The sequence below is a fragment of the Homo sapiens genome, chromosome 4, assembly GCF_000001405.40.
Source record: "Homo sapiens chromosome 4, GRCh38.p14 Primary Assembly".
NCBI lineage: Eukaryota > Metazoa > Chordata > Mammalia > Primates > Hominidae > Homo > Homo sapiens.
In genome coordinates this window covers 182,449,938-182,465,342 of record NC_000004.12, presented here as the reverse complement: position 1 = coordinate 182,465,342, position 15,405 = coordinate 182,449,938, and the positions used below count along the sequence as shown (strand labels likewise).

Sequence of the window (15,405 nt, the reverse complement as noted above, 5' to 3'; positions counted from 1 at the left end):
CTTCCTGAAGTCCTCGGGACCTAATCACCTCCCAAGGTTCCAAGCTCCTCATACCCTCCCAGTGAGGATTAGGTTTCAACATACAAATTTTAGGAGGACACAAGCATTCTGACCATTTTAATGTTTGATCTTAGTAATTTATATAAACCCAGTGCAAATATTTATTTTACTGTGCTCAAACTCTTTCCTTAAGAAAGACATTACTAGAAACTAACTTCAATAGGTTGAGAAAATATTTTATGCAACTCTCCTAAGAGTTATTAATCAACATACCCTTCCCTTGCCCCACTCTGCAAAAAGTACCTCAATGACATTATCACAGAAGTTGTTTCTATAATATGCCAAAGAACCTTTAAAGACAAAAACCTGGTTAATTCAGCAGTAAACATCAAAAGAATGAACACAGGAAGGGAATACTGATCATTAGGGGGTGAGAAGGGACATATTTAAAAACCTTCTAATTGAATAAGCAAAAAAATTTTATTAGTCTTATTTATTATGTACAAAACAACAGTTTATAAGGTAATAGGTTATAAGTAAAAACCAGTACAATACAGAACTATGGTTCTCTCACAAAACCTATCTCACAGAAAACATAAACATATTTCTCTGATATCATCTCTTTCCATAGCATGAAAAGCCTAAAAATTTTTATTTTGTAACTTCATAACCTTTAAAATACTAAATCGATACCTTCTAGAACTACATATTACTGTCATATTTAATATAAACCTAGTTCATACTCTAGTATTTTTAATTCATTTTGAGATTAAAAGTATTGTAACAGGCCTGGCGTGGTGGCTCACGCCTGTAATCCCAGCACTTTGGGAGGCAGAGATGGGCGGATCACCTGAGGTCAGGAGTTGGAGACCAGGCTGGCCAACATGGTGAAACCCTGTCTCTACTAAAAATACAAAAATTAGCTGGACATGGCAGCAGGCGACTGTAATCCCAGCTACTCGGGAGGCTGAGTCAGGAGAATCACTTGAACCCGGGAGGCGGAGGTTGCAGTGAGCCAAGATTGCACCACTGCACTCTAGCCTGGGTGACAGAGTGAGATTCTGTCTCAAAAAAAGAAGTACTGTATAATTTTTTAATGTTAAATCTGATAAGTTATAATAATATCGACTTCTTTGACTCATAGCTGAATAGTTCATATTGTAGAGAAAGTCACTATATCATTAATACAGTATTTTTAGCTTTTCTCCTTTCAACTGTGAGGGAAACATCTCTAAATTTAAAGGTTAATGATTCATGAACAATTATATATGTTTATAAAAGTGTAGCAATTTCTTGGTCTATTTAAGAGCATTTATTCCTTACTATTGTATTAATCTTAATAAGAGCCTCTGTTACATTTAATGAATAGTTTTTTTTCAGGGAAAGAAATTATAACAAAATACACACAAAAGTGATACTACGGCTGGGCACGGTGGCTCACACCTGTAATCTCAGCACCTTGGGAGGCCGAGGCGGGTGGATCACCTGAGGTCGGAGTTCGAGACCAGCCTGACCAACATGGAGAAACCCCATATTTACTAAAAATACAAAATTAGCTGGGCATGGTGGCGCATGCCTGTAATCCCAGCTACTCGGAAGGCTGAGGCAGGAGAATCACTTGAACCCAGGAGGCCGAGGTTGCGGTGAGCCGAGATTGCGCCACTGCACTCCAGCCTGGGCAGCAAGAGCAAAACTCTGTCTCAAAAAAAAAAAAAAATTAGCCAGGCGCAGTGGCAGGCGCCTGTAATCCCAGCTACTTGATTCGAATCGCTTGAACTCGGGAGGTGGAGTTTGCAGTGAGCAGAGATCGCACCACTGCACTCCAGCCTGGGCGACAGAGTGAGATTCCATCTCAAGAAAAAAAAAAAAAGTGATACTACATGGTCTAAAGTATTGCACCCATTGCACTTTCCTACTGAAATAAAGCAACACACTGACTAATGATCTTACTAGGTAAAATCTACACAATAAATGACAGTGGCCATCTCACAGTTTTTGTAGTGGTTTCACACAATAGTTCTCATTACGTGGTATCTTATTTCAAGGTGATCTCACAGAATCAAACAGAGTAACACCGAGTTTTTTTTTTCTTTTAAGTTGCAAAATGATAAATAATTTAGGCTCACAAGACTATTACTTTCAGTAGAGAGCTTAAAAAAATTAAAATTTTCATTTTTCTATTTGTTTCAACTACGGTTGACCCTTGAACAACACAGGCTTGAACCAGCTGGGACCATGTACACGAGGATTGTTTCAACCAAACGCAGATCAAAATTATGGGATGCAGAACCTGCACACGGGGAGGGCTGACTAGATGTGGGTTGTGTAGGATGACTGCAGGCCTTTAGTATACATGGATTTTGGTGTAGGAGGAGGGGAGTCCTGGAACCAATGCCCTGCCTATACAGAGTGATCAGTATTACAAAATTATCAAGTAAATTTTTCCTTTTTTTTTTGAGATGGAGTCTCACCCTGTCACTCAGGCTGGAGTGCGGTGGTGCGGTCTCAGCTCACTGCAACCTCTGCCTCCCAGGTTCTAGTGATTCTCCTGCCTCAGCCTTCCAAGTAGCTGGGATCACAGGCGCCCACCACCACACCCAGCTAATTTTTGTATTTTTAGTAGAGTCAGGGTTTCACCATGTTGGCCAGCCTGGTCGCCAACTCCTGACCTCAGGTGATCCGTCCACCTGGCCATATCAAGTAAATTTAAGTGGTCCTTTACCAATCTGACAAAAACAGTTTTAACTACATATTTGTAATGCCATAAGAACTTGAACTAAAAGACAGACTTGGAGGCTGGGCAATCAGTCAACCAGCTTCTGCACTCAAAGGCGTTCTGAGTGCGGCTGTTCAGAGAGGAGGGCTGCTGAAAAATAAAACAAGCAGAAGACAGTCTCTGACCTGGGATTTACCATCTGAAAAAAGTAACAATAAACAATTCAACCCATTAAGTCTGTAGATAAAAGCAACCTATTAAGATCCTAGGCCGGGAGCAGTGGCTCATGCCTGTAATCCCAGCACTTTGGGAGGTTGAGGTGGGAGGATTGTTTGAGCCCAGGAGTTTGAGACCAGCCTTGGGCAACGTAGCGAGACTCAGTCTTTACTGAAAATTTAAAAATTGGCCAGGTGTGGCAATGTGTGGGCCAGACTGGAGGCTGAGGCAGGAGGATCATTACAGCCTGGAAGTTAAAGGTTACAGTAAGCTATGATTGCACCACTGTACTGCAGCCTGGATGACAGAGACCCTGTCTCAATTTGGAAAAAAAAAAAAAAAGCTCAGAGGAGGCTGTGATGAGTATGTAAGATATGAGGCAGTTTGCAATCACTTGCAAGAAGAGTTCAGAAGAATTTAGGGTAAGAGTTGACAAGAGTTGACAAAGAAAAAGCCACGCTAATAGTAATGACCTGTACGACAGCCTAGCATGTCAAGAAAACAGCAAACTGGGAGTGCAATTTTTAGGCCTGGATCTGTCCCTATCTTAGCTGTGTGAATTCAAAACAGTCACTTGGTCTTTCTGGGTCTCATTCATTCAATTCAACAAGTACCCGCTGAGCATCAACCAGTGCCAGGCACTGTTCTAGGCTCTGAAGATACCAGAGTGAACAGAAGTCCCCTGCCTTTGTGAAGTTTACTTTGGTAAACTGTTCTTAATAAGTTTAAGAAGAAGTCATGAATTGAAAGTAATAGTAGGAAGAGTCCAAATGGGTTTCTCTACTTCTATTAATACTACCTTGCTTTTATAATTCATCTAACAGCATCTACCAGAGAGATCTTCCCCCAAACACACCGTACTACTGTGTGATTGTTTTCTATGCTAAATTCCCAGGGATCTCAAAGGTACATTTAAACCTTTTGATCTGAAATTCATGGTCCTCCATGTTCTGGTTCCAACCCACTTTTCTAACCTTATCTTCCAAAATTCTCTTTCGTGAACTTCATGCTCGAAGTAGGTCATTTGATATTTTCTCCAATATACTTTTCATACCCCACCTTTTAAAACTTGCTCATGTGCCTCTCCACCTGAAAAGCCTTCTCCTGTCACTTGTCCATAAGCCTACCTGTACTTCAATCAGACTCAAGCATCTTCTTGATATGACACTGACTTTCTGAGCAGGGGAGAGAGAAGATCAGGTGATGCCCAAGCAAGATAATTTGCTTTTTTGGATTAAAGAGAAAAGTTTAAGGCAGGAAAGTGAATGAAGATATTATAAATTATGATTGTGATTGCATTATAATAAACAGATCCAAAAAATCTGGTTTTTAGAGTCAGTAGCTGTTGATTATGGATTGACTATGTAAGTGGAAAGAAATTAGTCTAAATGGACTCAAAATTATATGATTATGAATAGGATGATAAAGCGCTTACTAGGTAGCAAATAGTAGGTTTTCAACAAATGCTGCGTAAATTCCCTTTTTAAATTTATGAATTAATTTTCCTTAAGAAATTAGTAAGTTCCTAAAATAGACTGCAGTTAAATATTACATATTAATTCTTATTTTATAGAAAAACATTTTTACACTAATCATGACTAAGTACAACTAAAATTCAGTGATTACTGGGTTAAGCATCATTTTAAAAAGAAATAAAGTGCAATACTAGTTAATAACATCACCGAAATATATAAATGGGTTTGTGCTCTTACATTTATGAGAAGTAGCTGTTGTGTGTTAAATAGCATATGAAATAATGTCACAGACTGTTGTTTACATTAGATATCCTGCTTTATTTAAAAAAATAAAATTTAGAGACAGCTAAACACCACTATCACCCCTCTCTTGTCTCTCCTTCATTTTGTTTCTTTCCATCCTTTCACAGGCAACCGCTAGTGTATAGCTGGTATATATTTTCTCACTCACAGAACTCTAGTACATTTACTGTGTACTTCAGCTTGCCACCCCAAATGTTTTCCCCCATGATAGAAGCAGGTTTATTTTTGTGACGGACATATATTCTGGTACCATGTGAATCAGGCTCTGGGACATTGTCATGTTATCAGATTATGGCTAAGTCATATAAAATAAATTGTCTTAAACAGATAAGTCTAATATACATAGAATTATATTCTATGTGAGCTTAAGACATAGATAAATAATTCAATGTATTGTTTCAAATGTACCTTTCTTTATTCAATTTTTACGTCCTCTGTCCTAGGGTCATGATGATGATCTATTGTTTTATCAGAATGTAGAACTAGCTGTCTCGTTTCAGCGTGTTTTCACTTTCACACTGCAGAGGTTAATAAAACCTTCAAGTGGTCTCCTTCCAACAAGGTACCTCGTTAGAATTTAAAGTACACCACAGGCATTTAGAAGGAGACATCCCCTTATTGCTAATTGAGATATTCCTGGAAATGGGGGCTGGCGATGAATTTTACAAAAAATACACAAGGAGGTTATTTTTAACTGAAAAGATACTATCAACTTTTTTAATAAATATATTTTTGAAATCTTGAATATTTAATTCTATTCATTCTGCCTCAACTGAAGTGAGACAAATACTTTAAGTTTACAATTCTGATGCCCAACTCCTGAAAAACTCAAGTATTAATCAGTATTAATGACTAATATTAATAGATAAATAAGTATTTGAATAAATCGGGTGTTTATACTGATATCTCAGCATGAAAGCAAATAATTTTTTTTTCAATTTTTGAAAGACTTTGTACTTTGAATCTCCTATTCCTAACTGGAAGCACAGAAGTGAAGACTGAGCTTTGCCTTTGTATGAAATGTAATATGCATGAAATTTAAATATACTTTAAAGAAATCAAACATATTATCATACATTCACAGACCTTCATAGTTTAAAAAAGGCCACGAATCTTGTTTAAAACAAACAATTGCACATTAAAAATAACTAATGTATAAAGCCTTAGATTCTGAATTCCAAAATTTAATTGTTCTACCCATTAAAGACACCATTCTGGTTCAGCCCTTAATCATGACACGTGAAAGGGCTATAATGTATTGTCACTCAACTCTTAAAAACTCCAGAATTCACCGAGATGAATACTATTGCTTTCAAAGTGGTCAACACAGGAGTTGTTGCCTTTTTCAGAAGTCATTTCTCAATATAATACTGAGAAATTTCTCTTTTGAAAAGGCCTCACAGGCTTTTAGCATTATTTTTTTCTGAATATAATTAACTGTGGTAAATACTCTCTCGGGAATAGATCTAATTTTTTTGAAATGCTGGTTAGTCAAGCCTGTGAAGGAAGGCAAGCAATCAAACTAGTTAAATTGGTATTTCATCAAAATGAGGAATGCCTATAATAACAAGAACTATTTTTATCTGTGACTTGGAAATAAACGCAATTTCAAAAAAGTAGTTTCAAAAAAGTTTGGTGAATGGTACTATAACGGAACATTGGAAAAGTAACAATCTATTCATAATAAGGACAACCCCCTTCATTTTTAGAATCTCTATTACGACCAAATACCAAAAGTGGCAGGCATATGCAGTCCATAGCACAACCATTTCCCTGGAAGCTGGTGAGTAAGCACACTCCTTTTTTCCTAGGATTTCTCTGCAGAGGATGCTGTCACTTCTTATTCCTTAGGCAAGCTGCATTCACCAAAATACCACAAAAAGTACAAATACATACACAAAGAAAGCAGGACATGTATGGAAAAATAAACTAACCCAGTAGCAAATGTAAACATTTAGTATCTATTTTATTTGTTCACATTATGTTTTATTACCACTTTAGTTTGATTTTTTTTTAAGAATTCTGAATCAGAGAATTGAAGAAACTCTACAGAACTTCTACAAGAAGCTACGCTGTTCAAAATCATTGATCTGGTTCACTTCCCTCCTTTTACAGGTAGCAATCCAGAAAAGTCCAGCGACTTTTCCAAGGTCACACCACCAGATAAGTTTGCTAATTTACTCAACTTCCTAACCGGAAGGTTTTAGTTGACCAAAACCATAAAAAGACCACCAATAATTAGCCTTAGGCACAAAGGAGTAAACACAAACATAATCTATCATTTTGCCAGGTTCAATAAAAACCATTCTGATGTGTTAATAGCCTTTAATAGTAAAAACATTAGCCATCAATTAAATAAACAAGCCATTCAATGGGGAATAGAAATGTCAATAAAAGCATAATCTATTAATTTTCAAATCAATGATGCTAATCCTTGCTAGATATTAATCAGAGAGTGGACATTAGCTATACCATAGATGATCACACCTCATTTAAAAAATCTGAATTAAAAACAAAAACAGGAGAACAATACAAAACATATATTGCCTCAATAAGCACTTGATAAATTAAATGATTTGCCTTGAGCAAATATGAGAATGTTTGTAACATCCAATGGTTACAACGTTTATGAAAAGTTATAGACTGGTATCATATTTCTATTCTAGAATAGGAAATAGAACTTACATGTAAAGCAAAATTTAGGACTAAAATCAAAACAAAACCTAATTTGACAACTGCACTGGATGCAGAATTCAGTAATGAAGAAAGACAGGCCGGATGTGGTGGCTCGCGCCTGTAATCCAACACTTAGGAGGCCGAGGCAGGAGGACTGCGTGAGCCAAGGAGCTAGGAAACTAGTCTAGGCAATATGGTGGGACCCTTTTTCTACAAAACAATATTTAAAAAATTAGCTGGGCATGGTGGCACACACCTGTGGTCCCAACCATTGGCAAGGCTGAGGTGAGAGGATCACTTGTGCCTAGGAGTTGGAGGCTGTGGTGAGCCGTGTTCATGCCAATGCACTCCAGTCTAGGTATCGAGACAAGGTCTATCCTCAAAAAAAAAAAAAAAAAGATATACATGATTTAGGTATTTGCATGTCTGGGTTCAAACCTCTCACTAACAACCAACTTAACTGTTCTATGACTTAGTTTCCATATCTTTAAAATAGAGATCATAAAAGTATTTAATTTCATGAGTTGTTCTGAAGATGAGATGAAATCATATATAATGGGTTTAACACAGATGCTTATCTTTCAGTAAATAATAAATGTCAGCTATTATTAGGCCTTGGCTTCTCTTCTTAGAAAATGTCCAGTCTGGATTACATAATTTTGAAGATTATCTTCAGTTCTAAAAGTCTCTAATTCTATTCATTTTCTCAGGAAAAAGTAAAATTGGTTTTTAGAGTATTGTGGGGTTTTTGTTCTTTTTTTTTTTTTTTTGAGAGACAGAGTCTTGCTCTGTCACCCAGGTTGGAGTGCAGTGGCACAATCTCGGCTCACTGCAACCTCCGCCTCCCAGGTGCAAGAGATTCTCCTGCCTCAGCCTTCCGAGTAGCTGGGATTACAGGCGCATGTCACCACGCCCGGCTAATTTGTTCGTATTTTTAGTAAAGACCAGGTTTCTCCATGTTGGCCAGGCTGGTCTTGAACTCCTGACCTGAGGTGATCCACTTGCCTCGGCCTCCCAATGTGCTGGGATTACAGGCATGAGCCACCATGCCGGGCCCAGCTGTTTTTGTTCTTAAGGTAGATGAAGATGGAGCAAGAGAGCAGAAATACGGAGTTTCTTTTCCTCTTCTTCTAGTACTCCTCACCTGTAAATCTCTCGACGGCAAAACATTTGTCAGTCCTTCCAACATTCCTCACCTATTAATCTTCTGGTAACACAATCACGGAAGGTGTACTGATTCTTGTTCTAAATTATCATCTTAAAGATTATCTCTTCCCTACTTTAGTCATCCAAAGAGAGTTGCATTAGATATGATGTTTACCAGTTTTTAAAAAATTATAATCATGAGTATCTTTATCAATGTATATACATTTCAAGTTAACTGTACATGTAAGTTAACATTTTTTTCTTACTCAAACTTACTGTTAGGCTTCAATGAACTTCTTTTCATTGTGGAAATTAACATTTTGCTTCACCTAAACACCTAACACCTATCGGAACTTAGCTACCCCAAAATCTCACCCAACAGAAAATGCAAAGAAATGGAGGCATTAAGCCAAAAGGTCTTCAGAGAAGCCAAAACTAATGAAGTTAATGAAATTAGCTCTGAGTCTTTACTCAGAACCTTTCTGTTCTTATTTCATTCATACATTACAATAACAACAACAAAATAACCTGTGTTGTTTGATGACAGAGCAGTAGTAAGAAGTGAAAGCTGACAGCACGGACAGGCCAGTTAGACAGGGATACTCAGCCTTATCAGCTCCTATGTAAGCCATTATATTTTCACACAGAACAATAAAATAACTGATGTTTGTAATGACCTTCCATCACCACAAAATTAAATTATATTTAGTGTACTCATCCAATAAGCATTCGAGACTTATGGAATAACTATTTTCTTAGCATCATGCTTAGTGCTGGTATGTAAGGACGAATGAGACAAAGTGGTTTTCTGAAAGAACCTGTCCCCCTAGTGGGGGAGACAGAAATGTAAACAAATGACTACAGGATAATGTGTTAAGTGCTCACAGAAATAAGAATCAGGTGCTAAGGAAGCCCGAGAGGAGGAGGAGCCACAAGAAATGCTGTGCAAGGCCGGGTGCGGTGGCTCATGCCTATCATCCCAGCACTTTGGGAGGCTGAGGCGGGTGGATCACCTGAGGTCAGGAGTTCGAGACCAGCCTGGCCAACATGGTGAGACCCTGTCTCTACTAAAATACACAAAATTAGCTGGGTGTGTTGGTGCACGCCTGTAATCCCAGCTACTCGGGAGGCTGAGGCAGGAGAATCGCTTGAACCCGGGAGGCGGAGGCTGCAGTGAGGCGAGATCATGCCACTGCACTCCAGCCTGGTCAGCCTAGTGAGACTCGGTCTCAAAAAAAAAAAAAAAAAAAAAAAAAAGAAATACCATGCAAGTCAGCTCTTGGAAACTCTGTGAGATGCAAGGAAGGGGCACAGGCAGCACCGACCAGCGAAAATACTGGTGCGAAGGTGGGAGTGGAGGAGCAGTAGAGGGTGAGGTATGGTCACCAAGGGACTGATAAAACACAACTCAGAATGACAACTGTGACGACAGTGTGGAGGCTGGATTAAAGAAAAGACAGGCAGAAGGCAGGGCAACCCAAATGGAAAGCTTAGTCTAAGGAGAACTGAAGAGAGCTTGAATTTGGGCCCTGATGGTGGGAACAGAGTGGGGGAATGAGAGTTTATACTTCATTTTAAACACCTTTTGATCCAATTTGTTCTTTAAATAAATGATTCTTAAACAAATAAGTCCTTTCTGATCAAGAAAATGTGACTCTCTCCTGAACGAACTATTTTTGATGATCTTGAGTCCCTGAGATTTTAGTGTTACATAATTCATAGCATGATGATAAGGAGATATCTCCAATAAAGTATGAAATATTATTTTAGGTATTTTGGTAATGGGCCAGTTTTTTCTTTCATATGATAAAAAGATTCATACTCAGCTCCCATTAATTGTAACAAAAGAGAATTCAGTATAAAGTGAAGCATACGCTAAACTCCAATCAGTAATGTTTCACAGCTTTGCCTAGGAAAACAAAAATCTTGTATGCAGCACTTAATTGCTTTAACTGGAGTTTCCAAAAACGTTAGCTCTTGTACTGCGTTTAATAAAACTCTTCCTCTTATTGAACAATACTTGTTCAAACATATAAGCAAGAATGCCATTTTATTGGAGTTGATATAAAATACATCACAAGGAAAATCTTGGCCATAAAGTTAAGAAATATAAACTATAAATCTTATGACTTTGTTTTAATTTCGTAATGGAAGTGATGACTCCAGAACGGCAGCAATAGAACTACTAAAACTTGAATAACTTTCAAGTAAACATACTTAGGCACTTGTTAAAACAAACATTATTCCCACTGCTAAAATCGAGGTTGGCAAGTCTTTCCTCTTACTAGCTTAAAAACAGTTTGAAAAGTAGCAGAATTGCAGCTTCTTTGCAAAAAGACTAATCATCATCATTAAAAGACCCTTAAAAGCAAATACAGAATGGTTAGCTAACCTGATCACCTTCATTTTTAATGAAGGGGTATTTCCATATAAATCGATGTATGAAACACACTTATGAAAGAAACTCTAACTATCATTAAAAAGAAACTAATTTTAATTTTCACCTTCATTCTGACGATCTACAATCAGAGGAAATAATATTTGAAAACGAAAAGAAAGAATATGATAAAGCCATATGTAAAAATGTGTAAATGATAAAACAAGCAGGGGTGGCTGTCATAAAATAGCCAAATGGCTTTTTCCACCTCCATCAAGGTCACTTTACTGATGATGGGCTCAATAAGATGATAATGCATTTAACCACTTTCCTTGCATCTGACTTCGACCTCACAAATCCAAATGGCCTTGTTTAACTACCCTGGCCTTTCAGCATTTCCCTGAACAAAGATAATTAAGGAGATGTACTGCCCCCTACTATCACAGGAATTGAAAGCCAAATAAACTTTTAAGAGCTCAGCCAGGTGTCTACTCCGCTAATGTACAACTTTGAAGCAGAAGGTAAAATGAAATAATGGTTAAATAATTATAAAAGGTTACAACTTTGAAGCAGGAGGTAAAATGAAATAATGGTTAGATAATTATAAAAGGTTAACAATGTTAAACTTGTTATATAAGGTAATTTTGTTTTATTTAAAAGAAAAGGCATAAAAAGAGATCCAGATTACATTTTACAGGTCTCTAGACAGCAGGCCCCATCTCTCCCTGCAGTTTAAGGTTAAGGAAAAAAAGGCACTGTGCACAAACCAGGATGAAAACAACTCACTGAAACTTCCACACATCGTTTTAATTTTTTACAAATTTTAAGTTAATATATATAACCACAAAAGACTAAAGTGTTTTTTATGTTAGTCCCATATTAGTCATTTTGTTACATTTTGTAATATATTCTGCCTCCTCAATGTACAAACCAAGACATTTATGTCAAACACTATTTAATATTAAGTGAGGGGAATGATAACATTTAAGAGAGAAACTCTGTTTTTCTTTTAAATACTATAGTATGTCGTTTCCCAAATTTAACTATTATTTAAATGTGACATGCCCACAAATATTTGCGTGTACTTTTCAATTATTATTCCTCCCTTGTAAAATGAATTTACCATCGTACCAACATAACATCTGTGGCATAAACTGTTTCTGGGAGACCAAAAAGGTAGTGGTTTTCAACCTGCAAAACAACTGCCAATAGTAAAATTTTTACTTTCAACAGTAAAAATTAAGAGTAGACATTTCAAAACTTAAATACATAGGATTTCAACTGAAGAGCTGGGTCTGTAACAAAAATCAATGTATAAACAACAATCCTAAAACAACTGGTTTCTTAAATATGAAAATACCATCCTTTCAAACCTGCTATATATGTATGCATATATATATATATATACACATATAAAAATAATCTCTATAGTACACACATTGTTATTCTTTATAGGGAAAACCAAACTCGGACATATCAGAAGACAAGGTATTCCAAATACCCAACAAGAGAACTCAATTCAGGTCAAAAGGCCTTATGCAAAAATGAGTATTAGAATAACTTTTCATCTCAGACAAAACTCCAACAAGAGTTATACAACTTTTATTTATTGCACATTATCTATTGCTAGAACTATCTGTCATACCAAATTGATAAATCTAAGCATAATAAATTTCTAATGCAAAACATCTCTTTAGAATAAAGAAGTGTGTTACTTGGGCTTTAAAACAGTCAATGTTTCTGGATATGAATCACTTCACGTGATTATAGCCAAAATAGCACTTATCATTCATAACTTAAAATCCATATTTATATGCTTTAGATTTGTCTAGATCAAAGTGATCCAGCAAAAAATTTCACTAATGATCCTAATCTGAACCTTTGGGAACCCGCCTGCTCCTCTCTCCCACTCCTCTAATAGCCCTTATCCTTTCATTCCTTTCTCTCTGCCAGGAAGTTCCGCAGCTTGTATTTGTGACTGCAGTTGTGTTAGCTAAGAACCAGGCCACTGAAAGATCTAACCATTTGGCCACAACTACTTAGAAGTTCTGGTCTAACCCAGAAGGGTACAGTTTACTGGACACCCCCCCGCCCCCCGTCCCCTGCCAAAAAAAAAATCTAAAAAGAAAACTTCTGCTCCTAATAATTTATTTATTTACTTTCTTCACCAAACCATTCTATCTCCTTCATGGTACCATTTTCCCACAACATTCAAATATCCTTAAGGAAGAACATCCTATTTCTCAAGTGTTAGGTGCTAAAGCACTCACATCTATGATAAGATAGAATAATTACAGCCATCCTTTAATCTAAACTACATATGTCTGTATGTGTGCATGTATACATATAGATTTTCACAGAGTAAGAAATCCATAATAAAGCATTAATATATCATATTAGTGTGAAATTTAAACTTTCTTTAAATGAGGCAAAGTTACTATAAAATAACTCATTTTAATAAAAATTTAAAACAAATATATTGTCCTGTATTTAGCATTTACATCTGGATTGCTAGAAAGGTGGCTTGTTAAAAATCTTTATTCACAATTGTTTAAAGTAAAGCCTACCAAACGAAATAAATTATAAACATAAAGAACTGATGTTCCAAAGCCCAGTCTCTTAATTGCTGATCAGAGCTGAAAACAGATCTTTTTTCCCCACTAATTGAATGAGTCTTGTTAAATCTTTTGAAATGAACTTTAGAAAATGCAAGAATACAGCTTAGAACAGGTTCTTTAATTTGGGTCATTTTCTGTTACTTGCAGTAGTGACGGGTGCTTAGCAACGCTGTTCTGGTGGCCCTTTTAAGGGAATGAATACCTGAAATACAGCATTTTAATCTATTTTACAGCATTAATTATCAGGATCACTGTATTTAGACAGTGCCTCCTTTGCCACTTGCCTACGTTATGAAAGAAAGGAGTCCCGTGAAAAATTGAATGTATTATTCCAGATGCCAGAAGATCCTGTGCACCCCTTTAACCAAGTAAAAATATGTAGGAACATAAAAACTAACAGTAAATAGAAGCCACAAAAAGCTTTAGTTTAAATGTTTAGACAAGGATATTACACTGAAAATCAGTGTTCAGACATCAGTAGAAGAGTCCATGTGAAGTCGCTTTTCTTTTTCTAAATCTTCGAGAAGAATTAAATTCTATTATGCCCCACACTAGGCCACTGCTATCTAAGAAACGTGACGCAACAGCCAAAATTTAGTATGATTTTATTTGGTAATTAAAAATCTGCTGAATACTTTAAATATTTTTTTATAAAAGAGGGCTTTTACATAATAACAAGAATATCATTTGAATTATGGCCATATTTACTATAATGTGCTGCAATGATAAACTACTGAGAAGGCAAGAAAACAAGGTAAAATGCAGGGCTACCGAGCAGTTTCTAAGAAATCAAACTGCCATGTCATACTCTGGAAATACGTCCATTCACATCTTATTAATGATCAATACAACAGGTTAAGAAACTAGTCATTAAAAACATTTGGAATGCGCCTTTCTATCTTTTCCTGATGTCAACTGTCATTGTTAAAAGTACAACTCTTTTAACTTTTTCCTCATAATTAAACAACTCATTTTAGATATCATGTCCTGAAGAAGGAAGGTAACGCTCTTATACAGCACTATTCTTCTCTATCTTCACAGCTAATAAGAGATCAAGTGACTCCCTCTTTGTCTAGAATGTACCCTAATTTCAGTCTTTCACAGCCAATTTTTTAAAGCTTTTTAACACTTAGTCTCTGAAGATGAGAGAAAGGAACCAGGTGAACCACCTGCATTCATATTTTTGTGAGTTTCAGTCTCTCAGTTAATGTATAATCACCACCTCTTTAAATTAAACATACTTTATAGCGGATCTCAAATTCATCATCACATTGTGTAAATCACAGTATAAAATGGGATAACACCAACATTTCTCAAGTTTTTTAACCTCTTATAGCAGATGGCCTCTGCCTAGAGTGTTTTGAACGCTGCAGTCGCATTTTAATACCTGGGAGTCCGCTGGAAAAAAAAAACAAAAACAAAACAATGTGGGGCACAGACCAGTACATGCTGCACTAAAATATTCGGCTGAGAGGGAGGCTTAGTTAAGTTAGCTGATTTCTTAAATGCCTTCTCTGGGTATTTGCAATCCTTTCTTAAGTACTACTTTAACAATTAGCACACAGAGGTCTTTGGATGGCTCTCTGAAACATTTAAAACCAGAGAACAAAAGGTTTATTTTAAAAATGAAAACCTTGGCTTGTACAACTCCAGACGTGAATCTGCTTTCAATTACTGAAAGTATTTCCACTTTAGTGGAAGGGGATCAAATCTTCAACTACACCATCTTAAGGCACTGAATTTGATTATATTAGGCTTTCAGAAGACAGAATGACTTTGTGACACAGGCACATATAGCTGTATATATCATTTATAAGATATTCCAGAGAGACAGAGACGCCAGCACAGGAGAGGGAGGAAATGTGACTTTCTCATTCC

At 36.6% G+C, this 15,405-nt stretch overlaps 1 protein-coding gene across 31 annotated transcripts in view; it reads right to left on the bottom strand.

Annotated features, from left to right (window-relative positions):
• TENM3 (teneurin transmembrane protein 3) overlaps positions 1–15,405 on the bottom strand; it is a 1,355,412-nt gene that overhangs the window by 337,682 nt on the left and 1,002,325 nt on the right. The window lies entirely within an intron of this gene.